The following is a 3445-nucleotide window of genomic DNA, read 5'->3' as shown; positions in this document are numbered from 1 at the left end:
CATCAATGTATCAGTATTGGTTCATGAATTGTAACAAATATACCATTCTAACATAAGATGTTTGTAATAGAGGAAACCATGTTCAGGGTATATGGAAACTGACTATACTATCTTTGTAATTTTTCTGTAAACACAAATCTGTTCTAAAAAATAAAGTTTTTATTTTTAAAAGTCATAAGTGTAGCGATTGTCAAATTTTATTCTACTTAAAGATCAGCTAAGGAAATTTAGAAAAATGTCCATTTCAATTACCTCCCAAAGGTCTTGATTCAGTGAGTCTGGGAAAGAGTGTATGATCCTCCTTCTTAACATGCTTCCAAAGTGATTCACATTTTAAGACACAGTGGGGCAGAGGAAGGCCACCAGGATTCCATCTCAGCTTTGGCTTCTTTCATAATCTGTAAAGAGATCAGCGGCTTTGCTCCCCCAACCCTGCCCCATGAAGATAGGAGAGTATTGTTGTATTTGTGTGAAATTCATGTCTCCAAATCAAGTTTGGAAAGAGACTTTCAGCTTTCTGGATCCCACCCTGCCATGAAAATCAAAGGTGGCTCCCCCTAGAGGAGGCTGGGGTATTGTCAAAACAGGGGTGTTTCTGGATTGATTGTGGATGGAAATATCAGTTATCTGTCCATAACTCCCCAAAGAATGGAGTAAAGTCCATATTCTTAGTAAGGCATGCAAGGCATATTATTCTCTGGCTCCTGCCTACTTTTCTACTCCTGTTTCCCCTTCCCTTGTGCAAATTATACTTGATCCTAGTGAAAATACTTCCTAAAGTCCCAGTGCTGTTTCTTACCTCTGCAACGATGCAATGCCATTCTCTCAGCCTTAATTACGATTTTCTTCTCATTGCCTACTTACGTTTCAAGATGAAGCAGCAATATAAACTTCCCAATAGATATTTTTTCTGACTTCTCCAAGAAAAATGACAGCAACTTTTCCGATATTTCCTGGTGGCCAGCTATACTTCCACTTCTGGTAGGACACATACTATTGTAGTATGACTGACTTTTCCACTCTCTGTATACATTAGAGAGCAAGACCCATGCTGAATTTACTGAATTCATCTTTTTGAAATTGTAGTTCCCATGCTGAATTTGCTAAATTCATCTTTGAGATTGTAGTTCCTGGCATGTTGCCTTGTCAGAGCCATAAATGCTTATGAGTGGATGAATAGAATGATAAATTCTAGACTCTACCCATTGTTCTTCAGAGGAAAGATGCCAAATAAATTCAACTAACAGTAATGATGCCATGCAACACAACTGGTTTGTGTGTGGTATTATACTTAATTAAAACAAGCAAAAAACCGTAAGTATATTCCCAGAAGAAATTTGACGCAACAATAGCAAAAGAGCTATATCTTGTAATTTTGAAGTATTCAGTAGGTACCCTGTGGATGTTGAAATAAGCCCTAATAAGGTTTAAAAACTCAGGACTAAAGAACAACTAGAAGCTAACATTGAGGATCCAACTGGTTATATATTTTCTCTATAATTAAATTAGAAGCTTCTCAAGGGAAAATAGCATTATTGCAACTTTATGCCAAGACCTGCAGGTACTTTGCATTCTTCAAATAATGCAGTCATACCCAAAAGCTTGTAGAGAGCTTCAGTATCTCCCATTTTACAGCAATGAATCCTGAAGCTCAGCAAGTTAAAGTGTTACCCAAATTCACTGTTAAGTGGGAGGCAGGGCTGAGGCTCACATCCTGGCTGTCTGTACTTCTCACTGATTTCATCTCTCCCCTTCTTTTCCATCTCCCCACCTCTGCTGGACTTGGCAGGAGACACCAGGTGAGTTGACCAACTACTGTTATCATTGTTAAGAATGATGTTACCTGTGTTTTTTTGTAAATGCCCTTTGTCAGATTGAGGAAGTTTCCTTACATTGTTTTTGACTATCTTCATTATGGAAAGGTGTTAGATTTTTTTCAAGTGCCTTTTCTGCATCTCTTGAGAGAATCTTATGGTTTTTGCTTTATTCTACTAATATTGTGTATTAATTCTGTTTTCTTTTTTCAACTTGTAAATTTTTGTGGATACATAGTAGGTGTAATATTTATTGTATAATATTGATTGATTTGTATACATTGAACCAACTTTGTACTTCTTGGACAAATTCTACTTGGTCATTCTGCATAATCTTTTTTATATGGTGTTAGATTTGGTTTCCCAGTATTTGTTAAGAATCTTAGGGCCAATATTTACTGTGATATTTTTTGACCCGTCAATTAAGAGTGTATTGTTTAATTTCCACATATTTGTGCAATTATTTATTTCTAATATCATCCCATTGCAATTTGAGAAAATAATTTGTATTATTTCAATTATTTCAAATATATAGAGATTATTTTATGGCCTAACATATGGTCTATTATGATGGAAATTGTTCCATATGCACTTCAGAAAAATATACATTATGCTATTGATGGTTGGAATGTTCTTCAGACATCTGTTAGGTCTCATTGGCTTATATTGTTATTCAAGTTTTGTAGCGCCTTGTTGATCTTCTGTCTCATTACTCTATTTATTATTGAAAGCAAAGATTTAAAATTGTCACCCATAATTGTTGAATTTTCTATTGCCCCCTTCAATTCTCTCAGTTTTTGCTTCAGTTATTTTGGGACTCTGTTAGTTATATACACATACATATATATGCACACATGCACACTTATGCACATACACATATACACATATTTTTATAATCTTTATAGCTTCTTGATGGATTTATTTTTTAATAATATTTAATGTTCTTTTTTATTTCTTGAAACAATTTTTGCTCCTCTGACTGATTTATTTGCGGTGACCTATTCTCGAGTTCACTGATCCTTTCTTCTGCTTGATCTTGTCTGCTGTTGAACCCCTCTGGTGTTTCAGTTTAATTATTGTGTCCTTTAGCTCCAATATTTCTGTTCAGGGTAAATATTATATCTCTTTGTTGAGATTCTCACTTTGTTCACACATTGTTTTCTTGACCTCAGTGGGCCATCTTTATGAGTTATTTTAATTCTATTAGGAAAATGATACAGCTTCATTTCATTAGGATCAATTTCTTAAATTTGACTTTATTCTTTCGTTTGGAATCTTTGCCTGATCCATCATTTTCCTTGACTCTCTATGTTGGTTTCTGTGCATTAGGCAAAATAGGCACCTCTCCTGGTCTTCACAGACTGGCCTCCTACAGGAGAAGACCCCCACTAATTAGCTCAGCTAGAGAGACTGGGGCCTCTGCCAATTCTTTTCTTCCCCAAGGTAAAGCAGGCAGCTGTAGTTTTTGTCTACTTGCTTTGTGTTGAGCAGGGTGAAGAATTACTTCTGTCTACTAGCCTAAGCTGCCGTCTCTATTCTCCCCCAGGTTGCAAGACTGTCCCAGACTAATCAGAGCTTCAAGACTGGCAAGATAAAAGCCAGTCCTTTGAGGAGATCCCTCAGAAAAGTTA

This window comes from Homo sapiens, chromosome 20, assembly GCF_000001405.40.
Source record: "Homo sapiens chromosome 20, GRCh38.p14 Primary Assembly".
Taxonomy (NCBI): domain Eukaryota; kingdom Metazoa; phylum Chordata; class Mammalia; order Primates; family Hominidae; genus Homo; species Homo sapiens.
This window is presented reverse-complemented; position numbering follows the sequence as displayed.